General features: G+C 51.2%; 1 protein-coding gene across 2 annotated transcripts in view, besides 1 other annotated feature; it reads right to left on the bottom strand.

Moving 5' to 3' along the window:
• Positions 266–1,465: an enhancer, noted in NCBI's record as "BRD4-independent group 4 enhancer chr11:130347582-130348781 (GRCh37/hg19 assembly coordinates)". NCBI's record gives its function as "activates an origin of replication core promoter dependent on BRD2, P300/CBP, MED14 and CDK7 cofactors, and independent of BRD4, by STARR-seq in HCT116 cells {active_cell/tissue: HCT116}" and the evidence as "EXISTENCE:reporter gene assay evidence [ECO:0000049][PMID:35650434]".
• ADAMTS15 (ADAM metallopeptidase with thrombospondin type 1 motif 15) overlaps positions 2,507–26,066 on the bottom strand; it is a 28,001-nt gene continuing 4,441 nt past the window's right edge. For both annotated transcript variants that reach the window (NM_139055.4, XM_005271419.5), the window contains exons 2-8: positions 17,531–17,663; positions 16,898–17,065; positions 16,372–16,655; positions 9,713–9,890; positions 8,051–8,232; positions 7,769–7,944; positions 2,507–6,105 (exon numbers count right to left, since the gene is read on the bottom strand). In NM_139055.4, the coding sequence (NP_620686.1) occupies positions 5,331–6,105; positions 7,769–7,944; positions 8,051–8,232; positions 9,713–9,890; positions 16,372–16,655; positions 16,898–17,065; positions 17,531–17,663 (1,896 nt within the window). In that variant the 3' untranslated portion in view covers positions 2,507–5,330. The remainder of the gene's footprint in view (positions 6,106–7,768; positions 7,945–8,050; positions 8,233–9,712; positions 9,891–16,371; positions 16,656–16,897; positions 17,066–17,530; positions 17,664–26,066) is intronic.

Below are 26,066 nucleotides of genomic sequence, written 5' to 3'. Positions count from 1 at the left end.
GAGGGTGCTTAGAAAAGCCATGTCATCCTCCTGAACACATTTCCAGAGCACTCTCAAAGGCTCTTTTCTCAAAATCCTCAACAACAACAAAACCACATCAGGAGTATCTGCTCAATTACCCATGGCAGAGATTCGGGGTACTCCCTGCTGAGGCCAGAATCCCAGTCCCCTGAGGTCATCTGAACTGTTGGTCAGATGTCTGGGACAGCAGTGGCTTAAGGCCCTGGACACTGTCTGGGACCGTGGCTAGGTACAGGAACGGGGAATGATACGAAGGCAATTGTTTCTAACAGCCTAGGAGTACAGCTAAAATCTCATCAAATTCCAGCCATTCCCCATGACAATATTTTCACCCTTTTCCCAAATCCAGTTTTTCACGAGGAGATTCCCTCCTCTCTTCATCTCCCTCTATCTTACCCTTTCTGCTAAAATTGTTCTCCTTTGGAAACAAATAGTTCTGTTTCTTCTTTGGAATGCCTCGGGAGGTCAGGAACTCTTATCTCCTCCTTCACAACATTCTGGTCACTGCTTGGAACGTGACTTACGTTACTGACCACAGCTCAGGAGAGCAAAACAAAGGCAGGGCTGCCCAGCTGAGCACGAAGGGGTGGGCCTGAAGGGAGGGGAAGGTGAAGGCTGAGTTTCTGGCTGCCCTCTCCCTCCCCAGTTTCATGCTTTGGAGCAGCAAACATTTCACTGCTGCCTTCTCACAGCTGCCGGGGGCTGAGGGGTGACACCATGGCAGTGATGAAGGGGGATGTTCTGCTCTTCTGGGATTTGTTGCTGGGATTGCAGGCTTCAGGGCTGACTCATCCATGAGGGCTGGAGACAAGCCAAGGAGCAAAGGAAAGACACTTGGGGTCACACGCGCTGCCCTTGGCCACGCCAGCTCAGCCTGCTGGGGGCTCGCCAGGGTTCACTGGGCAGGCAGAGCACGACCCAGGGGTCGACACCTTTTTGTAATTATCAAGGTTTTTTCTCACTGGGGCAAGAACGCATTCCCCTCCAGAGGATGGATTACAAAGCAAATCGTTCCTACCTCTCTTCAAAGGCCAGCAAATTTAGGAAACTGCTGCTTCCTTCTCCAGAAACTTTAAAATGCAGCCAAGCTTGTTGCCCGCCACACACCCCATTGCCTTACCTGGAGCTCTCCTGAGCCTCCAGGCGCCGCTGTAGTTGGGACCCAGCCTCCTCTGCTTCCTCTTTAATTTGCTGATCCCCAAAGCAGCCCAGAGGACCTTTTCCTTAGAAAGGTTTTACTGGCAATTGCTTCAATGGAAAACAAAAAGGATTACAAAAATAACCCCAGGAATATGACAACATTTTGAGCAATTTTAGAAAGATCTTACAATTGCTGACTTCCAGTTTATACATTAACCCAGACCCCTGCAGTTCCCTTCTGGGCCTTCTGCTAGCTCATAGACTCATGCAGCCTCTTCTGGCTAGTTCTTCCTTCTTCCAGAACCTTCTATCAAGTGCTGAAACTTTGTCCAACCTCCCCACATCCCTCACCCACATGCCTGAAGGGGCAGCTCTCGCAGCTCAAGAGGAAGTCATTCCCCATGGCCTTGCCCTGCTGGAAAGTCAACAGGAGAAACCCCTTCATCTCTGAACCCCAAACTGAAAACAAACCATCAGCTAGCAAAATCTAAACCATAACTGGGCCTAGAAACCCAGACTGCTAAAGCTGAACGTGCCCTAATAGAACACTGAATCTACCCTTCTCACTTTGCAGGTAGGAAATGAGGATTCCAAGAGAGGATCTCAGACCCGCGACCAACACGAGTTTCTAGATGTTCTTTGCAATGCGTCACACCTCTCCCACGCCTGTATATTTGCTAACATTTCCAGACCAGCACAAAACTAGGAAGAGAGAAACATTCTCTCTCCAAAGAGAAGGAACCTTTCCCTCGGGACACTTGGGGTTTCCTCCTAAGGCAGGAGACTGGAAGCCCACAGGACAGGGGCCCCTCTGGCCTCTCCCGTGCCTCGTCCCTTCACCCACGCACGGCCCCAGAGCTTCTCTCAAGCACTCCTGAAACCCCGCCCCAGCGGCCCCCAGGACTGGGCCTTCTGCTTGTCTGCTACAAGGCCCGTCCCCTTTTAACAGGGCTGCTGTCTCACCCTTCAATCTGTTTCGTTGTCCCTTCCTCTGAGGGGCTTTCCCTGATCACTCTCTCCCACACCCAAGCTTTTTTTTCTTCGTTTCTTTTTTCAGCTCCTTCTCTCTGAAAAAGTTCAAATGCGATCAAACGCCCACATCCAAGCTCCCACTCTCAGCATCAGTTGGTGTCTCCTTCACTTGTAGCACGATCTGCCACAACTCTCTGCTTGCTGACTTGAGCTCTGCCTCCTCAGCTAACCTGGGAGCTGCACAGGACCAGGACTGTGCCTGTCAAGGTCACTGCTGTCTCCATAGCTCCTAGCACAGTGGCTGGCGAAGCTGGGCATTCCATGGATGTGAGGAATGCATGCATGAATGAGAAGCAGTCACAGAGGCAGGACACAGGTTTTAAATACTTACAGCTTTATTAGGAGAAGGCTGTGGTCACCTCAGCAGCCAGCTCCCTTGTATACACAGTATACACAGCCCAGCCAGCACCCAGGTCCTTCCATCCTTCTGCAGTACATGGAGTGCAAAAGAACCAAACACAACGGCGGGGAGGGAGGGTCTACCAATGAGTGTCAGTGTCTAGTGCTTCCGGGAGCCAACTGCCAGGCTAGGGACACTCAAGTCCCTCAAACTGTCATCAGCTCCTGCCAGACCCCACTCCAGCATGTCGAGGTTCATATGAGAGTGTTTGGGCCAGACTCCTCCAATCAGTGCACGCGATGGGCAGAGGAGGCTAGGGAATCCTGAGCCCAAAGCTGTATTGGTCCATCCCCCTCAAGAAGTTGTTGGAGCTTTCAGAACGTTCCTCTTCTTGTGTAGACATGAGATACCGCTGTAACTTTACTCCATCACCAGAAACCTGTGCCTTGAGTCTAGTCTCTGCTCAGCCCTCGAGAGCATGGTTGGATTAAGGAAATAGTCAAAGGCAAGCAAGACAAACTCCCTAGGTTGTCTTGGTCATGCGTCTTTTAAAAAGGGAAAGAAGAAAAACCACCACAACAGATAAAAGCACCGAGGCCTGGCTTGTGTCAGGAGCCAGAGAGGTTGTCCTTCCTTGAAATGGTTTGTAAAGTGACTGATGGCAAAAGCTGCTCTCCTCTACTGGAGGCCAGCCTCCTACCGATGGCACCTCTCTTCCCACCCACCCAATCCCCCTGCCATCCCGCACAGACCCCATGCCACCCTCTCCTCCTGAAGGAGGGAGTGCACCAAGCACAGGGCGCAGTGCTGTCGTCAGCTATCAAGGATCTGCTTCTGCCTGGTACCCTGGTCCTTTTTGTCCCTTTAGCCCCACAGTGGTCACTGGCACAGAGGGGTTCCTGTTCACTTAGTTCTTCAGGGGTGACTGCAGCCCTGCCTCAGAGACTGGCACCCCCTCTGCCCCCGCATGAACTCTGTCCAAGGTTTCCAGCCCAGCGTTAGACCGGATGAGAACATCATCGCAGAGGCTTGGCTGGCTGGCTGGCTGGTTTGTGGATTCTGACTATTAGGGAAACCCACATAAAAGAACGGAACTCTTCTCTCCCAGGAAGACACATGCTTTGATCTTAGCTCCAGAAAATTCTCCACTGAGGACCTGGATTCATCACCTACACTCAGAAGCAGAATATCCCATGTACACAGTGGGGCATCTGAACCTTCAAGAAACACCCTGCTTAGCCAAAGAAGCTGTGACCCCAAAATATCTCCCCACTTGGAGCTAGAGAAAATGCCTGTTTCTATTTTCCTGACATGTCTATAAGACAGACAGGTCTCCAGCAGTTCATACTAGTGGCTGCCAGGCCCCCTGGGTCAGTCATTGATTCTTGGTGCCTCCTGAAACCTACTCCCAAGGAGTCTGAAGAGGCCCTGTCTTCGGCTTTGGAGCCCCAACAGGGGGCTGGGCTGTGGGGAGCAGGAAGCCACGCACCACACCCTCATTTCTGTGGCTGGACAGCTCGCTCTCCAAAGACTGAGTGTGGTGGAAGGACCAGGTCACCACTGTCCTAGGGGAGGGATACGGCTGGGTTCCCAGAGGGCATAATCTGAGGTAGCAAACAGTGGAGAAGCTAAGGCCTAGGATGCAACGTGACGTGCCCAGGGCAGACAGCAGTAGCTGTTTGGAACGAAGACGAGTTTATAGGCACATAGATGTTCAGCACCTAGCCCTCCTAGGCATGCCCCAGCCCCTCACAATGGGTACGGGACTGTGGCCACTGTCAGGGCTGTCTGAGGCGACACAGACCCTCGGATGTCAGCCTGCATATACGTGCCTCTCTGGAGGAGGAAGCCATTAGAAATGCAGCTTCCTCCTCCCTATCCCAGGGTGACATCTCCCAAAGCCAGGCCCAGAGCTCAGCACCAACCCCAGTCCAGTGACAGCAGAACCCTCCAGAACTTTCTGAAAACTCCCTGCATCAGCCACAGACTGCATAGCCCCTAGCAAATGTCAACATCTTTCTGTAATGGCCGGCTCCATCTTGAAGAAGACAGCAGACTCCCTACTGGCTTTCCCCGCTACCTGCAGAGCCTCAGAGGACACTTCCGTGGCAGCCCTACCACTAGTCCTACACCCTGCACATCAGAGGAAGGAGAGGCTGCTTCTTTATAGGAGGGCCAAGAGTGCAGGATGAGAAACCTCGGGACTCCCTGTGCACGTCCACGTCTTCCAAGGTGGAGTGCCAGGCTCCAGGGGCCCTAATCTCACTCTCCCCGTGGCTTCTGCCCAGCCCCAGCCAGCTTTTATTGCTTAGTCCATGTCAGTTCAAAAAGGAAAGTGGGCTAAAAGCACCGTGAAAACCCTGCCTCGTTCAGACACGGCTCAGAGCCCATGGGGCCACCTGAGGGTGCCAAGCTGCTGGGACATGGCTCTTCCAGCAGCCTGTGGCCTCCGTTCTGGGGGCCGGGGTCCCTGAAGTTCTGCCTGGAAGGTGCCCATCCTCCAAGTTCCTTGGAAACTGGGCCTCAGCACCTTCTGCCCTGCACCTCAAAGCCTCTCCCCGCAACCGGCCCGAGGAGCGGGGCCTGAGGTAGACTGTGCGGGAGTTCCTGGGCTTCCCTCTGCCCAGTCCAGGGAGGAGGAGGGAACCTCTCGCCCCAGCCCATGGTCCTTGTCCCCGGATGTGGGTGACATCGTGGCGTGAGCCCCTGGCCACCGTCCTCTGCCCGCTACTCCAGCTGGCAGAACGCTGGCATATCAGTGGGGTGGAGAGTGAGGGGGAGAAAGCGATGACCCCACTCAGCACGGCCTCAGGACGCAGAAGTCCAGCTCCTGGGGCTTGCGGTGCAAGTTGCACTGGTCCCGGGCCAGCAGCCGGCCTCCGTGGCCCACACACTTGAGTGAGCGCCTCTGAAATCCCCGGCCGCAGCTCTTGGAGCAGGGTGACCAGGCGCTGAGCTCCCAGGTGGGGCAGGGCTCCCCGCAGGCTTGTGTCTCCACGGGCCGATGGGCTGCATCACAGGCAGGGACCGTGCGCTGCCCGGCGGAGCCCCGGCAGTCCACCGCCCGCTTCTGCAGGCCACTGCCGCAGCTCGCGGAGCACGGCCCCCAGCTGCCAGCCACCCAGCGTGCAGGGGGCCTGTCGTCCGGCTGCTCCACCTGGTTGGAGAGGCTGAGGACGCTGTTGTGCAAGACAGAGGGTCCCCGGGGGTCCTTGGGATGAGAGGACTTGTCCTCCCGAGGCTCTTTGGGCAGATAGAAGGAGTAGCGGACCCGGGGCGGTGTCATCTTCCCCACGGAGAGGACCTCCACGGTCAGCGGCTCCAGGATGGGCCGGGAAGCCTGCAGGCTCTCCACCGCTGTGCCCGTGCCGCTGTACCGCAGCAGACTGCCCTTCACCACCAGGTCCCGCTCCACCGCCGACACCACGAAATGCCCGTTGAGCAGGTACTTGCCTTGGCTGTTCTTCAGAGCCAGGTAGTTGTCATCCCCGATCAGCCCTTTGTAACCGCGCTGGCGGATGTCGATGCTTGAGGCGCCTGCGGGGATGGCCACCACGAAATTGTAGCCATGCCTGGCGGGGGAAAGGGGGGCCGTGCATCAGATAGAAGCCTGGACCTGAGGACCTTATGCTCCAGGATCTGTTTTCCTCAGTAAACCTAGCTTTCGGTGAATTCTGGCATGGGAGTAAAAGCACAGGTTTTGGAGTCAGAGAGGTCCCTGCCCCTTGGCGATTGGTGCTGGAAAGCTGCTGAACTTCTCCAAGCCTCCACATCCTCACCTGTAAAGTGGAGCTCAGAATTCCACACACCTCACTGAATTGCAGGGAGGACTGAGTCCACCAAAGCACAGAAAGCATGTAGCGTGGTGCCTGGCACACATCAAGGATATGTAGACATCTGCCATGAGGACGAGGAGGAGGAGGAGGAGGAGGAGGAGGGGTGGGGCGGGAGGAGTAAGTCCACCATCCCAGAGCCTGAGGCTAGGAGCTCAATGCAGTGAGAGGACACTGGCCCTGGAGGCAGGGACGCAGATCCAGCCTGGCTCACACGCCAACTCCTGGCAATTTTAAGCAAGCCAGTATCTCTGGATTCTGGTGTCCTCATCTGCATAATGAGTAGGTTAAGCTAAATGATTTCTAAGGCTCCTTCCAGCTCCAACAGGCTGTAAAAGGAACATCTGCCACTTAACCAGTGAGGCAAGCCTGGGGTATGTACCTCCCACTCCCCACGTGGCCTTGCCACCACAGGTCCCTGCAAAGCACAGCCTGGAATGCCATCCGTCCCTGGTGCCCGAGCTCCCAGAGACAGGGCTGGGCATCCTCCCTTCGCATCACCACCCAGGGGCTCAGGAGAGGGCGACGTGTCCAGGGGCACAGTCAAGGCTCCAGGACAGCCATCTAGGCCTTTCCATCACCAGCACCTGGGCTCCCAAATTTTCTAGGCCAACCATAGCCTCCACCCCTAACTGGGACCTCAGGTGCCCTGCCTACCCCCTCTTCTTCTAGAACGTGGGTCAGGGCTTTCCAAGGAGCATATGTTTGACCTCAGGAAGCTCAAGCTGGGAGGCCCAGATTCTGAAGTTGGGACTAGATGCCCAGGGATTGCCCAAGACGTGAAGACTCCTTCAGTCCCAGCTGCCCACTTGCTGTCTCTTGGCAGTTTATTGCCATTCTCACCTCAATCTGATCCCCAAGGTCAGGGCCTCAGGCCCAGGGAGAGGCTGGCAGCTGTCACGTTCAGCCTCATCAAGGTGAAGCTACGATGCTAACCGTGTTACTTGGACTAACTCCCTTATTCCCCACAAGAGCACACATGAAATATATTAGTATTATACCCACTTTACAAGTGGGGACATCTAGAGACCTGGAGATTGAGTTCACTTGCCCAAGGTCATCCAGAAAATGGGTAACTGCGATCTGAATCAGGTCGGTCTTACTCTAGAACACTATACAGCCCCTAACAACTCTGCCCACCTTCCTGAATACCATCTCCTGTTAAGTGGGTCTTCCCCCAGCATTCGTCTTTGCTTGCTGAAAGAATGAATGAATGAATGAATGAGTGAATGAATGAGTGAGTGAAGGACTAGCAGCCCTAGAAGGGTATGGGTGGCCTCTGCAGCAAGGGTACTGGCTGGATCTGACATTTACCCCAGTCTAACCCAAGCTTCCAATACCCTGGGAAACTCCACCTCCCTCCCTTTGCTCCCTGGCAGGACCTTCAGGGCCCAGAACTCACATGGGCTTGGTGAAGAGTCCAGTCACCTTCTTGCAGCTCTTATTGTCTCCCCCACACACCCCACACTTGTCGAATCTCTTCTTGGAGCCCAGGTTCCCATCACAGCCAGCCTTGATGCACTTGCCTTGGACACAGACGGAGGTGGAGTCAGGAGAGCACAGCGTGCCGTCCACCACCTGCAGCACCCCAGAAGGGGAAAAAGAAGGAAGAGCAGGGCAGCTCAGCTGATGCTCCCCGGAAGACCTGGTCCCTACTTTGTTCTCAGGCCCCAGGCTCACTCACCTTGGGTGCCAGCACATAGAAGTAGCCAGTGCCATTGGCTCGGCAGATGAGCTTGCACTTGTCCCGGGGAGACACGCCGGAGTACTTGGGCACCCATGCCACGGCGAGAGTGAGCCGGTTGGTGCTGTGGTTGTAGCCGTTGAAAGCCTCACACTGCTCCTCCCGGAAGCTCTTTCCGGAGGCTAGGGAGGGAGAAGCATAAGAAAGAAGTTGAGGGGAAGGGACAAGGCCGGTGCAAAGGACAAGCCTCCCTCCCAGCCTGCCGTGGCTCTCTTAGCCCTTCCCACCCTCATCACCAAAGCTGCAACCTCCCCCCATCTGAAAGCACTAAAGCAGGCTGGGCCCAAAGGACCCAGGGCGCAGATGAAAACACATCCCCTGAGCTATGCACAACCTTCTCCAGTAACCCAGCCTCAAACTCCCTCTAGGTTGCAAACTATTTTCAGAATAATGTAACTCAGTGCATAAAGTAAATTATATAGATTAACGACAACACCAGTTACATTTGCTATACAACTATCGATATATTTTGAAACAAGTCTGTGATATACATGCTTTTTTGTTAATGCATTAAATATGATTCAGTGCTGGACACACTGGCTCATGCCTGTAATCCCAGCACTTTGGGAGGCCGAGACGGGCAGATCACCAGAGGTCAGGGATTCAAGACCAGCCTCACGAACATGGTGAAACCCCATCTGTACTAAAAACACAAAAATTAGCTGGGCATGGTGGCAGGCACCTATAATCCCAGCTGCTTGGGAGGCTGAGGTGGGAGAATCGCTTGAACCTGGGAGGTTGAGGTTGCAGTGAGCCGAGATCGCGCCACTGCACTCCAGCCTGGGCAACAGAGTGAGTGAGACTCTACCTCAGAAAATATATATATATATACATATATATATATATATATATATACACACATATATATATATATATATATATATATACACATATATATATATATATATGTATATATATATATGATTCAGTAATGAACCTGATAACTACTATAATTCTGAAGTAAGGATGAGCTTAAACAGCATTTTGAAAATTCTGCAACAACCAAAATGTCACGTGAAAATATCCATGGTTCCTATTGATGACAAAGTCACAGGTACTTCTACTACTATTGTAGTTTTGTTGTCTAACTGAAAGAAATACTAAATTTTAGATGGAAAGGTAGTTAAAAAAATACTAATTTCTCCCTGAAAGAAATACTAAATGTTAGATAGAAACATTAATAAAAATAGAGATGTAATTTTGTTTTCCCCATCAAGTTCTTGGGCTCTGGAGTCCTGCTTACAAAGATGGGCTGGGCAGGCCTCAGATAAGAGGACTTCTAGTGTATCATTCCCCTGATCCATTTAGTCTCCCAGGCTAAGCATCCAGAAGGAAACACCCTTGCCAAAGGTGAGTGGAAAGAGGAATGATCCCAAGAAGAATCTGCACCTCTCCACTTCCAGGCTTTGTCCTGAAGGTTGGAATCCTGACTGCAGTCCCTTTGTCATCAGCAGGAATCCATGATAGAAATACTAGACTACCTGAATTACCTGTGTACCCAATTACCTGGAGGCCATGCATTACATGGAGTAGGGGTGGGGTGGGGGGACCTCCAGCCTCACCTCCCCTGGGCCCAGGCCACCACTGCTCTCCCCACCTCACCTGAGCTGGGGCAGGGCTCCAGATTGCAGGATCGGTATTTCACCCTCACTCCCTCGCAGTACTTGCCCCCGTTGGCAGGGGTGGGGTTGGTGCACTGCCTCCTGGCCAGCTGCACGCCCCCACCACATGTGCGCGAGCAGGGGCCATAGGGATCCCATTTGGCCCAGGAACCATCCACCTGTGAGGAAGAGCCTGTTATATTCCTTGGTGGATCCAGGTGCCACACCCAGCCCCTCAGCCCATAGAAAACTACACTGTACAGCCTCCAAGTTCTCATCCCACCTTCCTGGAATGAAATTAATGTTGTATCATGAAGGAAAAAACAATAAACAAATGGCCAGTGCACACCAAGCCCACCCGACATTCCAACCAACTAATGAGCAAACAGCAACTGCTCCCAGGTGCAAAGGAGGCCGTGCAAAAGAGAGGCCTCTTTGGGCAGTAGAGTGAGACAGATGTGAGATGTGTTTTCCTTTTTTTTTTTTTTTTTTTTTTTTTTTGTTGAGGTGGAGTCTCCCTCTTTTGCCAAGGCTGGAGTGCAATGGCACAATATTGGCTCACTGCAACCTCCACCTCCCAGGTTCAAGTGATTCTCCAGCCTCAGCCTCCCGAGTAGCTGGGATTACAGGTGCCGGCTACCATGCCCGGCTAATTATTTTTTTTTTTTTTTTTTTTGAGATGGAGTCTCACTCTTTCGCCCAGGCTGGACTGCAGTGGCGCTATCCCGGCTCACTGCAAGCTCCGCCTCCTGGGTTCACGCCATTCTCCTGCCTCAGCCTCCCGAGTAGCTGGGATTACAGGCGCCCGCCACCACGCCCGGCTAATTTTTTGTATTTTTAGTAGAGATGGGGTTTCACCGTGTTAGCCAGGAAGGTCTCGATCTCCTGACCTCGTGATCCGCCCGCCTCGGCCTCCCAAAGTGCTGGGATTACAGGCTTGAGCCACCGCGCCCGGCCTTATTTTGTATTTTTAATAGAGACGAGGTTTCACCATGTTGGCCAGGCTGGTCTCAAACTCCCGACCTCAAGTGATCCGCCCTTCTCAGCCTCCCAAAGTGCTGGGATTACAGGCGTGAGCTACCGCGCCTGGCCAGACATGTTTTCAACGGACTCTGCCCACACCACAGCACCCTAGTGGGCTTGAGCAACGGGCAAACCCTCCTTAGCTTTCCGGTGCTTCACTTGCAAAAATGGGTTTGATAATACTAATACTCGGGCCTGATGTCAGATGGATGACAGAAGTGGCGTAACAGGCACGAAAATTCCCAGCACCACGCTGGCCCCGGCAAAAGTTCAGAGAGTGCTCTTATCTCACAGCTTGCCGGGAATAAAAGGAAAAAACAGAAAAGATTCCCTTTATTTGTTGTTAGTGCATTCACAGGCATCCCTAAGGCATGGCCACCCCCAGCCCTGCGGATAAAAAATGTCACCATAGACGTGAATGTTTTTCTTCCTTAGTGTTCTATAATTCAGACTTGATGCCAGACCAAACTGATCTTAACCTCGATCAGGGGCTGTATTTGAGAAAGTTTCACCGTGAACCATTCTGAAGTTTCTTTTAAGAAGAGATAAAGATAAGACATTATTAAGCAATCCTAAAACTCGGTTTGGCTTTGGGGTGAATTGTGCAGTGTTTTGGAGGACTTTTTTTTTTTTTTAGGTTTTTTTTTTAGTTTTTTTAAACAGGGTAGAAAGAGAATAAAATTTACATTGTCCATGATGTTTTCCTTAGAATGACAGTGAAATGAGTTTGGATCCTCTGAACACACATCAGTTGAGCAATAGAGGAAGCAGCCCGGCTGCTGTACTCGCCTGGAATTAAAACTCTGCCACCGACCGTCCCTCACAGTGCCTAACTCACATGGAACTAAGCAGGAACTGGCTGCATGTGATGGAAACACTTTAACCTGTGTACATATCCAGCATATTTATTCAATCTACCCTTTTGTCAGATAGCTTTTGTTTCATTTTGTCAAAATCTGTTTGATCCTATAAAAACCACCACCGCCGTCCTTCCACCCTGCTTTGGCCTCAAACTACTCAAACTAGCGCCTCACCTCATTCCATCCTTTCACTCCCTGACAGCGTCACCCACGTTTGCTCTTTCCTCATACTCACTCCCCAGAGCCTTGCACTGTGGGTTTTGTCCCCATCACACCCCAGAAGCTGCCCCCTCAAAAGCCACAATGGCCATCAGAAGACTGAAAGAGTGTGCCTAGGCCTCAAGATCCCCAATTCTTCTTCAGCACATAGCACTGTTCCTGCAGCTGCTGAGACAATGCTACCTGGTTTTTATTTGGTATCATTGCTTCCTATTTGAACAAAAAACATTCACTGTGCTCCCGCCCTGTGCCATTCACTCATTCCTTCACCAAACACTTGTGGAAGTACCTGCCCTCAGAGCAATTACTCCCTAGTGGGGAGACAGACAATAAAAATGAATCCGTGAACACAGAGCATTGGGTGGGCTTCATAGCAGGTGGTAGGGAGGAGTTGGGAAGGGCTGCTCTGGATTATGGGGGCCCCTCTTGTGCCTGAAGGAAGTACAGGTGGCATAAGCCAGGCAGACATCAGGGAAAGGGCATTCCAAGCAGAGGGAGAAAGTGCACAGGCCCTGAGAGGAGATGAGCCTGAAGTAAGCCAGTGTCACTAGGGCCAACAAGGCAGCGAGAAATGGGAGCCGGGGCAAAGCCCCTAAAGGGTGCTGAGCAGAGAAGTGGCATAACCTAAGGTGCATTCCAAAAGAGCTGCCATGGCGGGAATCATCTGTAAGGAGTAAGATCAGAAGCAGGGAGACCAGTTGGAGGCAACTGCATTAATCCAGGGGACAGGGGGTGGTGGCTGGGACCAGGGTGAGAGCAGATGAAGTGGTGAGAAATGATCCTGGATCTGCCTTGAAGATGGTATCCACAGGGACGTGGAGATACAGGGTGTGAAGCATGTGAGAGAAACAGGGTTTCAGGTTGAGCAACCAGAATGTGGAGTTGCCAGCGCAGCTTCAGGGGAGATGACCAGGAGCTCAGTCTCACAGACACATGTATAAGATGCTAATCAGGTGTCCAATGGACACGTCCAGATTCCCTTAGAGAAGCAAGTCTGTAGGTCAGGAGCGAGGCCTGGACTGAAGATGCAAATTTGGGAGTCTTCAAGCTCTAAATGGTATTTAAAGCCATGGTCTAGATGAATCAGCGAAGAGATTGAGTGTGGATGGTGAAGAGGGAAAGGAATGAGTGCCGAAGCACTCCAAACTTCAGAAAATGAGAGTACAGGCCGGGCGCGGTGGCTCACGCCTGTGATCCCAACGCTTTGGGAGGCCGAGGTGAGCAGATCACCTGAGGTCAGGAGTTCGAGACCAGCCTGACCAACATGATGAAACCCCATCTCCACTAAAAATACAAAAATTAGCCAGGTGTGGTGGCGGGCGCCTGTAATCCCAGCTACTGGGGAGGCTGTGGCAGGAGAATCGCTTGAACCCGGGAGGTGGAGGTTGCAGTAAGCCAAGATCATGCCACCGTACTCCAGCCTGGACAACGAGAGTGAAACTCTTGTCTTAAAAAAAAAAAAAAAGAAAGAAAAGAAAAGAAAAAAGAAAATGAGAGTACAAGGAAGAAGCAGTAAAGGTAATGAGAAGGGGAGGGGCAGCGTGAGGAGGAGGAGGACAACCGAGAGGCAGTGGAGACCCTGTTCCAGGGCCCAGAGCTCTGGGTTGCCAGAAATGCTGCTAGCCGGCTGGACGATGGGAGGAAAGGTAACAGTCACTGACCTTCGTAGTGTGCAGGCCATTTGGTAGCCTTAATAAGAGTTGTTTTGGAGAAATGATGTCAGTCAAAGCCTGTTTGGAATGGGCAGCAGAGAAAAGTGGGAAGATGGAATTGGAGACAGCAAGCTTGTACAACTCCTTCCGGGAACCTGCTGTGAAGGGAGTCAGAGAAACAGACCACAGAGGAAGTGGGATCATAAGAAGTTTTGTTTCAGATGGGAGAAATTACAACAGGTTTGTATTCTAAAAGGCATGATTCAGCTCAAGATTGGGAAATACTGGCACTGCAGGAGAGAGAGAATTGATCAGCGATGTCCCTAACAAGCGAGAGGGGATGGGGTTCCCGCGCAAAGCACACAGCATGGCCTCAGATCACAGCAGGGACAATTCAGCCACTGTAAAGGGGGACAGTGGAGAACAGGTGCGGAAGCAGGTCGGGAGGTGGGTGGAAGTTCCCTTCTGATTACTTGGTTTTTTCCCCCGTCGGGAAATGAGAAGAAAGGTCATCAGTGAAAGCTGAAAAGGAGGAAGAAAGAGTTAGTAATGGGAGGAGAGAGGTGATGGTGGGTGTGAACTAACGGTTCAGGAGGTTGGGAGAGTAAGCCAACTGGGGAAATGAAATATATGACTCCTGGACAGCATTATGGGCCCACCTAAATTTCTGGGTCATCAATTTATTTTACTTTTTTCTTTTTCTTTTTTTTTTTTTTCCTTGAGATGGGATCTCACTCTGTCACCCAGGCTGGAGTGCAGTGGCGTGATCATGGCTCAGTGCAACCTCTGCCTCCCGTGTTCAAGCCATCCTTCTGCCTCAGCCTCCTGAGTAGCTGGAACTACAAGCATCTGCCACCACATCCCACTAATTTGTGTATTTTTTGCAGACATGGGGTTTTGCCATGTTGCCCAGGCTGGTCTCAAACTCCAGGGCTCAAGGGATCCTCTTGCCTCAGCCTCCCAAAGTGCTGAGATTACAAGTGGGGGCCAATGTGCCCAGCTCAGATCATGAATTTAAACTGAGACCAGTGAGCACAATTGCATGTTTTTCTCACTGGGTGAGGCATGATGGGAAGGCATGATGGGAAGGGTGAGGCATGATGGGAAGGTTGTTGTAGCAATAGATTGTAGGCCCAGATGGGATTGAGGAATTGTTGGAATCCAAAACCCAGAGGGAGTAATCTGGGAAGACAGGGCCTTGGTGGTCAGAATGGGATTCCTGAAACAGATCTGTGGGAGCTGCAGTGATTTGTAAGACATGCTTTATGATCTGACCTCAGCCAGTGAGGGCAATGACTTCCATGAAGGTTTCCTGGAAAGTTTCAGTTAAAACAAGGTGGCCAAGGGATTGTTTAGAAAAGAGGTTGAGGAGGTAGATCTTGCCTGATCATAGACAGAATTCCAGAAAGTGTGGAAAGATGGTGCTTCTCAGACTGCATTTTCTCTATCCAATATTATCTCACCTTGTCTCTGCATCCTCCAGCCTCATCTTCTCAGGACGAGGCACTGGCCACATATTGCCTGTCCTCAGGACCTTCTAGTGCCTGGCAATCAAGGTGGCTGCTGTCTGGCCCCAAATGACCTTCCTGAAGATGGTTCCCATAGAGCCCTCATCTACACAGCCCTGCAGCTCACTCCGACCTGCCCAGGACCGCCCGCCTCCTTGCCTTGCTCTGTTTCTGCCTACAGGGATCCTACTTATCCCTCAGCCTCTCTTCAAATCCAACCTCCTCCAAGTTTTCTCAGCCCCCTCTCATCATCATTAATCTCTTGACCCTGGTTCTCCCGTGACAATTTTCATCCTTCTGTCCTTCCGCATAACATGTGCCTCTCTGTGTCTTGTATCACAGCTACAATTCGAGCTTCCCCACTTGACTGTGAGCTCTCTGAGGCATGGCCTGTGTTTTATTTCTTTTTCTGACCACCACAGTATCTTACACAGTTCCCTGAACACAGTGGGTTTTTGCCTAGCCAACGGTTGAAGGTTTAATTAGACATGTATCCCCAGAACACAGAAAAACATTTTAAATAATTCTGTGCCATACTCATCTCAGGGCAATTGATAATGTGCTTGGTGGATGCTTTTTTGTGACACTGCCTCTGTGCCCAGAGGCAAGTCGTCCCCGAGCTGAGAACAGGGGATGGGAAGGGACAGTCAGCTCCAGGATCCGGGAGGAGAACAGACCTCTTATTCCTGCCCGGAAAAGTACAAATCCCTCTCCTACCCCCAAAACCCCCAAAACAAGACCTGAACAAGATAAAGTTATTATATACAGAGAATATTTGGCATTCTGAATGTGTTCTTGTTTGGTTGCTATTCGTATTTATCAGGAGGGAAAACAAGTATTATTCAACTATGTTCCTGCTAAAGAAAAACAGCAATCGCAACAGAAATGGAAGCTTGATTCAGAATGCAGCCAATTCCCGAAGCTTGCCCAGGGCTTTGCTTCATTGCAGCTCTGAGCCCTGTTCCTGAGCATGGTCCCCAGCTCCCTGGGTGTGGAACACACTGGGAAAGAGTGGATGAGAGAAGGAAGGGATGAGCCAGCGAGTGAGCCGCTCCTGACACTATGTGTTCAGTTTTGAGCCCAGAGCTCCTCCCCAGGTAGGACGAGGCCCGGAGCTCAGGGCTGAGACCCCACGTCCTGTTGAAGGCTTTTCCCCATGTGTCTGAGGCCTCACCAAGTCCTCTGACCTGCCATAGCTTTTCTCTCCGGTCTTAGAGTCAAGAAGGGGATAGGACTATATACAGGGCAGTGAAGGCACAGCTCAGCCATGCAACAGTGCTGGTCCCGTGGCCAGTCTGTGATAGGCACCTTCCTGGTGAAGACCAAGGGCAGACGAGGCCCCCGGGTCTCCATCCCTCCTCCCAGCAGTCCCCGAGCGCAGCTCCAGCACTCACTCACCCTGTGCTTGTTGAGGTTGTGTCTCTCCACGCAGGCCCCTTTGAGGCAGAGCTTGCCCTCGCCACAGCTGGTGCCATCGGCCCAGGGGAAGTGGCGGGTCTGGCACACCATCTGTCCCTTGGCCTTCCCGGTGCACCACAGCTTGGTGCAGTACTGCATGTAAGGACAGGGCTTGGAGCCCACGCCAAAAGCCAGCTCGCACTGCTGGCTCAGGGTGTAGCTGGCGCCCGGCAGATCCTCGGGCAGGGAGATGGGCTTGCTGGGTTGGTCCAGGAGGCAGTCACCTGCAGAGAGCCGAGGGCGTTCGTTAGGATGAGCTGGGAAGATGAGGTTTGGCTAGCCCAGAATCTGAATGGTAAGGGGATAATGAACCAAGGGCAACAGGAATGCACTCATGTCAGAGCCCGGCTCCGAGGGGGCACACACACCTAATGTACAGAGGACGGAGAAGTGAGCACCTCCACCAGGGGCAGCAGCAAAGCCCCCTCCGAGGCGGCCTCATTGCCCTCCCGCCGTCCTGGCTTACCGTGCCCGCTGTCCAGGAAGTCGGTGATGATGGCAGCACTGCAGGCTGACCAGGGGTTGGCACGGTCGATCTGGATGAGGGTCGGGGACATCATGTGGTTGGCTCGGAGCTTCCCAAACACCTCCTCACAGACTTTCACATTGTCATGGGGCATGTTGAACACGTGGCCTGTGGGGTAAGGCAAGAGGACTGAGAGGGCAGGAGGAAGGACATGGGGGTTGGAGGGAGGAATGGGGCAGGGGAACTAGAAAGCCCATGTCAGAGGTTTTCAGGCTGGTCATTGCCAACTATCGACAGACTGCTTTCAAATGTCCTCAAGATCATGTTCTTGTGTTTTCTGTCCCCTCCGTCAGGCTGTGGGCTCCCTGACAACAGAGTGTACCTCCTTGTCGTTAACATGGTGTCCCCACAGTGCCTAAGTGCTGAGACACTCTGCCAAGGGGCTCAAACCACGTCATTGGCCAGCGGGGCTGGGGCAATCGGAAAAAGTACAAAGCTGCTGCTAAGGCTCACTGTGCCCTAAGAAGGGGTCCTAAGGCTTCAGAACACAAGGGGGCAAAGACACACGTCTCCCACCCTCCAGGCTCCCCAGGCAAACCCAGAAGACCCCAGGAGGAGCTTATCCAGCCTTACCCAGCTCGTGGGCAGTGGTGAAGGCTGATGGAAGCCCATCGTCCTCAATGACAGAGCAGCTTCTCTTGGGGTCACACATGGTACCCACATCAGCCATGCCCAGGGTGTCACAGGTGGTGGCTCCACACAGGTCCTGCCGGGTGGGGGAGAAGCAGAAGCCAGCCCGAAGTTAGAGACAGTGACAGAAGGGACCTGAAGGGAAGAAAGGACATCCTATAGGACATTCCAGCTCATCTCATTCCAACCTCACCAGGCCCAGCACCTTCCAGCTGGGCTCTTCTTCCTAGGAGGTTGTGGGGCTGTTCACAGAATCAACCTGGCTGAGGGAGGAAACCCAGGAAGAGCTCTGTGGCTTCACCAAAAACACTCTGCCCAAACCCTATGCAGGGAGGTCCTCTGGGAGGAAATTAGGAGGTACAAAATTAAACTACAAGGGCCACTACTTTATAGAGAGACGGCCCTCCAGACCAGAAAAACAGTGACTCCCATAGCCAAGGGAGGCTCGCTGAGGCAACAGGGAGGAAGCCAGTCCCATTCCCACCCAGAGGCAGCTTCGAGCAGCCTCGGTCTTTGCTGGGCTGCCTTTTGGCCAACCATGAATTAAGTTAAGATTCTCAGCCAGAGGGCTGCTGGCCAAGGACCCACCCATGCCAGTGATCAGGCTGGGAGGAAGCATTGAGGTGGACCCCAGACCCCATCCCGGCACAGTTTCATTGGCTACAGAAGCTCAAGGGGACACACGCTCAGTGGCTGCTAGGAAGAAAGATACATGAAATAGAGAGATGGCCACCTAAGCAGGAAGGTCCCTCGTTTTGTACTGAAGCTTAACTTGGCCACAGAACCTAGGGCCTCCAGCAGAAAACCCTGACAGGAAGTATTCCCAGGGGACGCAGAAAGGCAGGATAGGGCTTCCGGGGTGGATATCTCAAAGAACTTACTGAGCATCGTTGGCCAGAAACACATTCAGATAACTTAAAAGCCCAAAAGTTGGAAATAGGATAAGACATTTGTGTACATTCTGCTCCTCTTAAGAAGACGTGTGTTGGGCCAGGCACGGTGGCCCACACCTGTAATTCCAGCACTTTGGGAGGCCGAGGCAGGTGAATCACCTGAAGTCAGGAGCTCAAGACCAGCCTGGCCAACATGGCGAAACCCCATCTCTACTACAAATACAAAAATCAGCTGAGCATGGTGGCAGGTGCCTGTAATACCAGCTACTAGGGAGGCTGAGGCAGGAGAATCGCTTGAACCTGGGAGGCAGAGGTTGCAGTGAGCCAAGATCACACCATTGCACTCCAGCGTGGGCGACAAGAGCAAAACTCCGTCTCAAAAAAAAAAAAAAAACAGAAGATGTGTGTTGAATCAGTGATGCTGGTTCTCTCATTACATCGCTGCCTTTAATGCATAAGGCATTCTGCATTTCACAGGAAGCTGCTACATGTGTCACCTCATTTAATCCTCACAATAGGCTTATGATGCAGACATATTATTGTATCTATGTGTCAGAGGTGGGAACTAGGCTCATGCCTATAGTTCATCATGGCTATGATGTATTAAATGCTGACACTGTGCATGCACTTTGCACACACAGCCCTATTTAATCCTCACAACATCCCACTGAAATAACGACTATTACTACCACCTTCCACAGGCAAAGAAGCATGTGTCTGCATGCATGTGCACGTATATGCAAGGCCACATGTGCATCTGTGTACATGCTGGCAAGGGGCGAAGGTGGGCAGCAGCACAGCGCAGGGAGCCAGGAGCCAGGGGGCATGGGAGGAAAAGCGGTCAGAGTACAGAAAATCAGCAAAATTTAATCCAAAGCACTCAGAGGTTTACCACCTGAGCAGTCAAACTTGGCTTCCCACGGTCAGATGATAGTCACACCTCCTAATGAGTGAACAGTTATTCCGAGGGTGACCAGCCTGAACCCGGGTGCACCAGAGGCAGTGATGTGTGCCCTGCACACCCAGCCAGGTCTGCCACCTGTGCTTGCTGGAAGCACTACCTCCACTTCTAGGAGCCCCATGGAGGACTTCAAATGCCCTTCTCTTCCCATATTCTTTCGTCTTCAAAGACCCACTCTCCCAGAAAGTTTTCCTTCCCAAGAGCTCTGAAACCTAGAAAACAACCACTGTCAAAACTTGGGAGGGGCCTGGGCGCAGTGGCTCATGCCTGTAATCCCAGCACTTTGGGAGGCCAAGGCAGGCAGATCGCTTAAGTCTAGGAGTTCAAGACCAACCTGGGAAACATGGTGAGACCCTGTCTCTACAAAACATAAACAAAATTAGCCAGGCATGATGGTGCACACCTGTAATCCCAGCTCTGCCTCCCAGGTTCAAGCGATTCTCCTGCCTCAGCCTCCCTAGTAGCTGGTATTACAGGCACCTGCCACCATGCTCAGCTAATTTTTGTATTTGTAGTAGAGATGGGGTTTCGCCATGTTGGCCAGGCTGGTAGGAGGAGGCTGAGGTAGGAGGATCACTTGAGCCTGGGAGGGTAATCTACAGTGACCCGTGATCACGCCACTGCATTCCAGCCTGGGTGACAGAGCAAGACTCTGTCTCAAAAAAAAAAAAAAAAAAAAAAAAAACACTTGGGAGGGGACCTTCACCCGACCAGCAGTTTAGGGAATGTGACAGCTGAGAAACATGGATCAGCGTGTGAACTGTGGGGAAGGGAGCCAAGATGAGGGCAGGGATGAAGGCTCTTGCAAGGGCATAGTGAAGGATGTAGGTGTAGGACGGGTGTGGTGTAGGACCCAGCAAGGCTGGAGCTCTGGACATTCTAGCCTAGCAGTTGCAGCCTGCGGGGGCAGGCACCTACCCTTGCCTCTGGGCTGCCCTGCACACTCACTGCTCCCTGTGTAAGAGGGAGAGGGCGCAGAAATAAGAATCAAGAAGTCTAGATTCCGGTCCTGGCCCTATCACTAAGTAGATGTGTGACTTTATCCAAGTCCTCTCTCTTCGGGGCCTTGGTTTCCTGCTCTGGGGAAGGGCCAACTTTCAACTAGAGCCTGAATCAACCAGTGCTTTCAGCCTCTGCTCCTTCCCCAGTCCCAGAGCATGCAGCCCCTTCTGGCCCTGTAGGTTATAAAGGGAACCCACAGAATGACATATTTTTAGAACCCCAAGGAACATCTTGTCTACTGACCCAAGTCATGTAGTTGACAGCACTCGCTCTCAGAAAAGTGGAAGTCACCCACGTGGAGATTCAGAGTCCTGTTCCCCGGCCCCGCTCTTCAGAAATGCCTAGACCAGGCAGGATGCAGTGGCTCGGGCCTGTAATCCTAGCACTTCGGGAGGCCAAGGCGGGAGGACGACTTGAGGCCAGGAGGTCAAGACCAGCCTGGGCAGCGTAACAAGACCCCATCTCTACAAAAATTAAAATTTAAAAAAGAAAGAAAGAAACCGCTAGACCAGATTGAATGCTCAGACTGGGATCTAGAGGGCGTCTGGAACTCAGCCACCCCGCAGCCGCCTCTGTGGCTGGGAAGTCCTTACGGCCAAAAGCCTCCTTCCTCCTAGGGAGGGTGGATTTTCTCTGGAGCAAAGACATGCAGCTGCAGGCCCTTCTTGGCCAGAAGCAACCTGTTCTTTCCATCAAGAAGTCCCGGTTTCCCTGGATCAAATGAGAGGAACAAGGAAAGAGCCGGCAAATTTCCTGAGGGTAAGAGTGGCTCTGGAAGCAGCCGTCTTGCAGTAACCAGCGTCTTCACTGTGGGAAGACACAGCTGTATGGGGTCAGAAGCTCTGCCTGTCCTCCTCCCCACCCCGGCAGGGACTCAATGAAGAACCGCTGGGCCTCTGCACTTTGAACGCCTACGAGTGCTTATACAGGGGCCCAGCAGTGCCTCCTTTGTGGCATCAAAAATCTCCACCCTTCTGGAATGAACTCAGAGGCACTAAAACTGCCTTAACCTCTTCAGCCCAAGTGCTTGCCTCCAAAAAACAGAAGCTGTTCTGCCTTCTTCCTCCCAGAAGGTGTAGGTATTCCTAACCCAGCCCCTACCTGCCTCACGATTCCCAGCAATTGGCTGTTTTTCTTTGTAGCTGCAGCCACTTTTCCAGATGATCCTGGAATCATCTTGGCCAGGAACCTTAATCCTCCTGGACTGTTATTTTCTAACTGTCCCTTCTTATAAAATAATTTAGGATTGGAGCCACACCTTAAATAAATAAACAAGGATAACATCTGACAGTAGCTTGTTTACCAGTGTCACTCCATACACACCTCCACCACGATTCCCACCAGCTGCCATCCCTGTGAACCACCTTCCTACCTCTTCTCATTTCCCAGGCATGTACCAAGATGCTCAATGTTTTCCAGCAGTACAAAGACAGAGGGATGCACAAAAATCAAGCACATTAACTTTTTTTTTTTTTTTTGAGACTGAGTCTCGCTCTGTTGCCCAGGCTGGAGTACAGTCGTGTGATCTCGGCTCACTGCAACCTCTGCCTCCCGGGTTCAAGCATCTCGTGCCTCAGCCTCCCGAGCAGCTGGGATTACAGGCATGCGCCACCACGCCTGGCTAATTTTTGCATTTTGAGTAGAGACTGGGTTTCACCGTGTTGGCCAGGCTGCTCTCGAACTCCTGGCCTCAAGTGATCCACCCACCCCAGCCTCCCAAAGTGCTGGGATTACAGGCATGAGCCACCGCACCTGGCCGCACTTTAACATTTTTAATGTGGCAGAAGACATACGCATTCTCATGTAGCGGACTTTGCTTCCATTGAAGTTCTAGGCAGGAGAGCCAGAGCTCATCTCTGCGGCTACATCACAGCATCCAGGTATTATACTCACAGGACTGCAGGGCTGTCTTCTCATGCTGCGGATGAGGAAACTGAGGCTCAGTGACTTGAGATTATGCACCCCAGTCCCCATGGCTATTAAGCAAAGAATGAGGTCCCCAATCCAAAGCTATGTTCTTTGGTCTAAATCATGCAACACTAGTTAGGAGACCATAATTACTGGTGAAAAGCACCCTGCGCTAGTATTACTACTGTACCTTTAACTTGTTTCCCATCCGAATCTCTGCCATGCATCACTGTATTTCCTTGTCCAGCCCAAAATCCATGTCTGTTTGTAATCCCCAAGGATGGGAGGGCCTTGCTTTGCTAGAAGAAATAAAATCTAGCAATTCAGTGCCTTGGCAATGTGACGAAGAATGTTAGTTACTTCTACTGGCAGATTCTATTTCACTGGCATATAAATCCCTCCAGATGTACAAAATGGTAATACTGCAAGAGAGTGAGGTCACCAAAACAATAATAATTACCTCAATGAGGAAGAAGAGGGACCCCAAGCTTGCAAGAAGGCTAAATCTTCTATAAAAAAAAAATCACCCCTTCAAGAGAGAGGGCGCCTACAAGAAGAGCGATAATAGCTAACAGTTACTGACTGGCTACTGTGTGCCAGACTGTCGCGAGAGTTTTATCTGCCTTCATTCATTTAATCCTCACAGCTGTAGGAAGAAGATGCCATTATCAGGCCCCATCGCACAGAAGAGACCCAGAGAAGGTAAGTAACTAGCCCAGGGTCACACAGTAAGCCCAAGGTTAGACAGAGAGGAAGGGCGCAGAGTGAGGATTGAAGTCCAGGCAGCACAGCGGCAGGGTTGAGCTGTCACCATGACTTCCTGCTGCCTCTGGTGCATATCGCCCCAAGAATGGAAGGCCTCGCCCTGTAGCTCAAGCAAGTGCCGGTTGACACTGAGTGGGGAGAGGCCTGGGGAGAGGGAGAGGCAGGATTAAGTGCCGAGAGTGCTCTGAGTGCACCGTCTGCGCCACCTCTCCGGTTGAACGAGCCCCCGGCTCCTTGCCCCACACCTGCATTGACACACTGACCCCGTCCCTGCCCTGCCATGCACCTTGTCTGCTGACTCCAAGGTGGATTAAACACACACCTCTCTGGAGCCCCTCCTTTCTTCAGGGCAAAACCTCATGGCAAAGAGCCAAGATGAAATGCCAGAAGAATCTAAGACTCCCTCTCCCAACCCTGCAGCCTGACCGCCTCAAAAGCTGGATGAATGATCCCCAGGAAGGGAGGTGAGCTACCTAAGCATCCAGAGCTACAGGCAGCCCTTGCACTTCTGTTTGCACCTTCCTTCCACAATCACCTACTGAACAGCCGACTTGCAGGGATCCACCAAGGGGCTTACAAAGACTAAAGAGGTTCCAGCCTAAAAGGAGTTTACAGATCAGTGGGATTAGCAAATTCTGATGTCCATAGCTTCCATACAAAAATTGGACCAAATGTTAAGCATACTTGAAAGGACAATGGGACAGAATGCTTTAAATCAGGGCCATCCCAAACTTGAGTTTGGCAAGGGATCCATAGCTAATTATTCAACAAGAAGCATGTACTGAGTGACTACGAAGGCAGTGATGAGATGATAATAACTACCATAACTGGGGGCCTATTCTGGACCACTCAGTAACACTTATCTGTGCAACAGCCCCGTAAGTGAGGTATCATGTCATCATCATTATCCTCATTCTAAGAGTGAGGAAAGTTAAGTGCACATAGCTGACTCACGCAATGTCCATTGCTAGAGAGTTCAAGCCCCCGGATTCATACTCAGCTCTGCCTGACTCCAAGCCTGTGTTCTTTCCATCATGCCACGTGATCGAGTCAAGGTGTCAAGGAAAGGTTGGGGGGAAAATTCCAGGGGTGGGAGGGGACGCAAACAACTACAGAGAAGTTCAAAGGCAGAAGGAGAGCAAGACCTAAAGAAAGAGAAAAACTCACTTGCCTTTCTGACTAGACCAGCGGTTAAAAATAAAAGAAAAAGATTCCCTCCAACCTTCCTCCCCCATCTGCTGACATTAATATCAGGTGAACTCATTTGATGTAACTAAAGAGAGCGAGCACTCATCCTGCACGACAGGGAACCAACATATTGCACTCCTCCCTCTCTCTTCCCACTCCTTCCCTCCTCCCTCCCAGAAGGCATGGTGTTGTGTTTCCAGTTAGTGGCCAAGAATAACAAATTATTAAATACTCAATCTACCAATGACCTCTCTCCTAATATCTTCCAAGGCCCGACTTCAAGAAAGATCCTAATGAAATCATGATCTTTTTCTATTGTATAGGGAGATATGTGTAACATACGTATTATCACTTCATTATTAACTATTTTTATCTGAACACTAAATATCACTGCCCTATGACAAGTGCTTTATCACCAAAAGAACTGGCGTCTGTTTCACATTAGGTTCTAGAATGCTGTTCCGCTCTGCGCAGTGTAGGGCATCCCCAATGAAACACAGTACTGCTCAAGGTCAAAACAAGAAGATAGCACCAAGCTCAGGGTTGTGAGAGGGGAAAAGTCAGAGTACAAATGAAGAGAATAAGGGGGAAGAGAAAGACTGCAAAGATCCTGCCTGGATGGTCCCAAAAGAGGAAGGTGAGAGCATGGAAGAAGAGTGAGAGGAGAGGAAACAGAGGTGGCATCAAATGATATGAAGAGGCAACAGGAAAAAAACAAACAAACAAAATAGACCAGGCGCAGTGGCTCACGCCTGTAATCTCAGCACTTTGGGAGGCCAAGGCGAGCAAACCGCTTGAGCCCAGGAGTTTGAGACCAGCCTGGGCAACACAGCAACATAGCAAGACCTCGTCTCCAAAAAAAGAAATTTTTTTTAATTAGTCAGGCATTTTTTTAATTAGTCATATGCCTGTAGTCCCAGCTACTTGGGAGACTGAGGTGAGAAAGATAGTAGACAATATTATAAGCAACTTTTTGTCAATAAATTCGCAACTCAAAGGACATGGAAAAATTTCTTGAAAAATATAAATGACCAAAGCTCACTCAAGAAAAATAACTTGAATATATATGTTTTAAAAATGAAATTTGTAGTTAAAAGTCTTCTCACAAAGAATATTACAGAGCTCAGGCATGGTGGCTCACACCTGTAATCCCAAAACGTTGGGAGGCTGAGGCAGGAGGATCTCTTGAGGCCAGGAGTTCAAGATCAGCCTGGTTAACATAGTGAGACCCTGTCTCTACAAAAATAAATTAGCTGGGCACGGTAGTGCAGGCCTGTAGTCCAGCTACTCAGGAGACTGAGGTGGGAGTATTACTTGACCCCAGGAGTTAAAGGCTGCAGTGAGTTGATGGCCTGGGTGACAGAATGAGACCCTATCTCTAAAAAATAAAGAAATAAATGAAGAAGCAGACAGAATAATCATAAAATACAAGTCCTAAAAAAAATAAAGAAATAAATGAAGAAGCAGACAGAATAACCATAAAATACAAGTCCTAAAAAAAAAGAAGAAAGAAATGAAGAAACAGACAGTAAAACCATAAACTACAAGTCCTAAAAAAAAAAAAAAAATCAGTCCAAAGGAGAAAAGGTCACAGAGAGCAAAGCAGAAGTGGAATGGAGGAGAGGGCATCTGACGACATAGAAAACAAGCTCCCCTCCCCAGCCCCGACTCCGCAGCCAGTGCCCTTCCTGCTCCCGTCCCTTGGAGCACTTCCTTAGCTTCAGCATTCAGGAGAACGCCCCTCCTCCCCAACAGGGCTGGT

Source organism: Homo sapiens, chromosome 11, assembly GCF_000001405.40.
Source record: "Homo sapiens chromosome 11, GRCh38.p14 Primary Assembly".
In the NCBI taxonomy this organism is placed as follows: domain Eukaryota; kingdom Metazoa; phylum Chordata; class Mammalia; order Primates; family Hominidae; genus Homo; species Homo sapiens.
Note: the sequence above shows the minus strand (reverse complement) of the source record. Positions and strands in the feature narration are given on the sequence as shown.